We start from the raw sequence: 3,891 nt of genomic DNA, 5'->3' as shown, positions 1-3,891 counted from the left end.
AGAAGATTTCATTAGGAACTTAAATGTGGAGGTTCCAGTCAGGGTTGCAGCAAACAGGGCCTGAAAGCGCACCAACGTCAGAGTGATGAAGATACAAAAAGAAAGCCTAAGAGGGATAGGAACATTCTGGAGCTGGTGAGGGCTATCAGACACCATCGCAGAATGTTAGCCAGTGACTGGATCTCCTTCCCTGGGGAGCCGTTAAAACACAGGTGCGTTTTGAAGACAGGAGCTGGAGATGATCTGTCCATCCCACTGTTGACTTCTGGCTCTAGAGTCACCAAGAGTCTTTAGAGAGGGCCAGTGTCTTTGTTTGGTGCCTCTCCTTTGCCACAGCAACTGCTTGTCTCAGAGGTACTAGGGCATGGGGGCCTCTGAACAGCTTGTGACAGCACCTCGGCTCAGAGAGAAAGGGCTTCTTGTGGGGCATGATGTGGATGAGGATGGCAGGATAAATCAAAGGTGCCCCAAAGGACACCCCCTTTCCTGAAATCAGGCTTGGTTTTATAAACCTGTGAGGATTCCATTCTGTTCCAAGAGGGAAGCCAGGCGGGGCTGGCAGAAGCCCCCAGGGCGCCCAGAGCTGCAGCAGCCTCCAGCCTTGGGTTTCCAGAGTAGAGAGCAGGTAACATCCAGCCATTGTCCCCGCCTCCCTCCTTTGCAATGCCCCCATCCCTGACATCACAAGTGAAGGCCCAGGATCTGAGAGTTGCCTGGGTTATGGCAAGTTCCAGGAGGTGGCAGCCGTGTGTAGTCTGTGAGGAGGATCTGACTCACCCCCAGCGCCTCACCAAGGTCACTGTTGGTGACTGGGAGGTTTCCCACCCTGCCACCCCACCCCACCCCACGTCTGGCTGCTCAGGAGTCAGAGATAGCTTCATGGGCCATGGCTAACCCGAGACAGGCAGCACACCCACGTGTGCGGAGAGGGGCTCCAAGGCTGTGCTCTAGGGTGGCCATGAAGCTCAGCTGACTTCCAGAGAAACAGGCAGGAAGCAGGGGCTTGAGGGCACTGGGCCCGCTGTTGCCAGCTCTGCTGTCCCAGGCATCACAAGCCTTGCTCCAGAGAACCTCAAAGCGCAGCCCTACATGATCTAAGTAATTTTAGCTTCCCCCCACACACTCTTCCCAAAGGGCAGGGTTACATAGTTCTTGTTACACACACTCACTGACATTTAATTCCTGCCTCTTCAAACCAAGACAGGAAAATAGTTAAATAATCATCAGAGTACCTTCTAAGAATGAACAATAAACTGGAGATAACACTACGCACTTCTCAGGGGCTCAGAGCTGTGCAGTTTCCCAGTGTATAAGGCACTGGACCCCGTTTGCCCGGAGTTTCTAGGGTAAAATATTCATGTGAAAACGTGCCCAGGTCTGGCTTTTCAGAGGCAGCAAAGAAGGGAAGGGCCTTGGAAACATTTTTTCCCACACCACAAAAAATAATAATAATATGGGAAAGGAACACCCAAATTAAAAATAAGTGGTTTGTGGCTTTAAAAATAAAGTTTCTCGGTGTTTTACAGAATCATAAAGTATTAAAATTGGAAGGAGCATGGGATACCGTGCAGGCCCAGCTTCATACAGTGCAGCCACCTCTTCTGTGCCATCACTAACTAGCAGGTTGGTGCAGACACTGCTTGTCTGCCTCCAAGAACAGGGAGCTCATTACTATGTTTCATGTAATTTTTTCTTACAGTAAGCCCAAATTCCTTTTTCTATAACTTCCAGCAAGCATTGCAAACTGTGTCCTCTGGAGCCGCTGTACATACCTCCACCATGCCCCCTCTATGACCTCCTTCAGATCTTTGAAGATAGCTGTAGCATGCCCTGCAGTTCCAGCCTGCTTCTCTCCAGGCTACATTCATTGCTTTGTCAAACAACCTAATTCAGGAGGCCGTTGGCTGCCTGGGTCTTTTCCATGTTAGGCCAGGTTTGGCAGGGTGGCGGTTACTGCTGCTAGGCCTTCTCCAGCAGCATGCCTCCTCGCTTTCTGCTGTGCCCTGCAGGAGTTGTGCCTGTGGACAAGCAGCCTCTCCACGTGGCAGCTCTGGGGCTCAGCCTTCGTCAGACCACGGGCAGAGCTGGATTCTGAGAGTAGAACGACTCATGGGTGCTTCGACTGTCTCTCCTCACAGAGGCAAATGGGCTGATACCAAGTCGAAAGCTCCAAGAGAAGAAGAAACGTGCCTGTCTTGTACACTGCTGTGTCCCCAGTAACAGTCACAAAACAAATTCCCATGAGGACTTTCAGATGAATGAATAAAGGGATGAAGGAAAGCAAGCTGGGATCAAGTGGGGCGATACACACACACTTCTGTGGATTCAAAGTCTGTACCTCAAAGGCACAGGATCCCCTGCTTGCAGCCCAGGGCCTCTCCAACCCCGCCAAGCCCAGCTCCGAGGCTGAGTTCCACCACAGCTCTGCACGCCACCCCACTTCCATCCTCCGTTTCTCCTTTAAATGATCATTACCTCCTCCTCCTTGCACCCACGCCAATCTCTTCCCATTTCCTCTTCCTCCCCTTTCCATCTCTCCCAAGGAACTCCCTCATCTATAAAAGTTCCAGGATATTCTTCTGGGATGTAAATTTCAAAGAAAGCCAAGCAAGAAAAATAAAAACGTGGTAGAAGACCTCGTATTGCTTTCGGGGCCCTAGCTGATATCCTTTGGCCCTAGACTGATGGGGGGAGGACCCCCACAAGTGCTCATTGTTCCAGCTGCATGGACAGCAATCCCTGGGTCAGGGGTTTGGAGGGAGAGGCTGTCTGGGTTGCACCCATTTTTGCAGGGATCTTTAGTAATGAGGCCTGGCTCACAGCCTCCTGCCCTAGGCCCATATGTTGTTGAGCAGCAGACGATGCAATTGATCTGTAAGTGGATGTTTTAATTTTTTATTTTTCCCCTCCAGGGTAAAAAGCAAAAGGAACTCTGGCAACTGGTGATCTATAAACTTAGCAAGCCTCAGGACTTAGTCTATCTCACACATGGAAAATAACTCCTGAGCCCTCCCTCGCCACCCCCACCTCTGGAGATAAACTGTAATAAAATCTTAACTGGCTCCCCTGTTCTGACAGATAGCGGACGACTTGCTTTAAAAGACCTTCGTGTTCTGTTGCTGCCAAAGACATTTAAACTGCATTCAGGAGTGACTTCTCTGCCTAAAACACTGACCAAGCCTGAGGCAGATTTCCCTGGCCAAGGCTCCATGAGCCTTGGTGGGCAGGGCTGCTGAAGCTGGGTGCCAGGGCAGTGGGAGATGCCACACTCACCCTGGGCTTGCTGGGCAGGAACCATGGGTTGCCTTTGGGCTTCAGGTGTAGTGGCTGGACGGTGTCTGACAGCACGGCATGGTGGGCTGCGGGATGCAGATGGGATGGACACTTCCCATCCCCCAGGCAGCTCAAGAGAAAACTGCTCTGAATGGCTCTTATTTATAAGGAAAATGTGGCAGAGGCTCATTTACAGAAAGAGAGAGAGCTGGGGCCTGAACTACTCCGAAGCCCTTGGGGGAAGGGACTGGTGGGGGAGCGGGGAGGAATATTTAGTGACAGCTGAGTTCTCTTTTGTTCTCTAGAGTCTTTCAAGTTGTCAGAAGCCCCTGGAATGGGAACCCTGTGGGAGGTGTGTGAGAAGATGAAGATGAAGAGAGAGGAGAGCATTAAGGAAGGTGGGGAGGACAGAGAATGGAAAGAAGAAAAGGAGGAGGAACACAGAGGAGGGGAATGGAAGAGGGAAGAGACGGGGTGCACCAAGACAGAAGAGAATGAGGGAGACAAAAAAAATGGAGTGGGGTGTCTCCAGGGGGAAGAGCTTAAAACCAGGAATGAGCAAGGAAGAAAAAAACCAAGTGATTGCGGGGACAGGCTGAATCTTTTGAAAGAAAGGTT

The 3,891-nt window shown here is 51.0% G+C and overlaps 2 annotated features.

Annotated features, from left to right (window-relative positions):
* Positions 1,494 to 2,072: an enhancer, noted in NCBI's record as "H3K27ac-H3K4me1 hESC enhancer chr11:130696544-130697122 (GRCh37/hg19 assembly coordinates)". NCBI's record gives its function as "activates a minimal SCP1, AML or CMV promoter by ChIP-STARR-seq in naive H9 embryonic stem cells {active_cell/tissue: H9 hESC(naive)}" and the evidence as "EXISTENCE:reporter gene assay evidence [ECO:0000049][PMID:30033119]".
* Positions 2,073 to 2,652: an enhancer, noted in NCBI's record as "H3K27ac-H3K4me1 hESC enhancer chr11:130695964-130696543 (GRCh37/hg19 assembly coordinates)". NCBI's record gives its function as "activates a minimal SCP1, AML or CMV promoter by ChIP-STARR-seq in naive H9 embryonic stem cells {active_cell/tissue: H9 hESC(naive)}" and the evidence as "EXISTENCE:reporter gene assay evidence [ECO:0000049][PMID:30033119]".

Source organism: Homo sapiens, chromosome 11, assembly GCF_000001405.40.
Source record: "Homo sapiens chromosome 11, GRCh38.p14 Primary Assembly".
In the NCBI taxonomy this organism is placed as follows: domain Eukaryota; kingdom Metazoa; phylum Chordata; class Mammalia; order Primates; family Hominidae; genus Homo; species Homo sapiens.
This window is presented reverse-complemented; position numbering and strand designations above follow the sequence as displayed.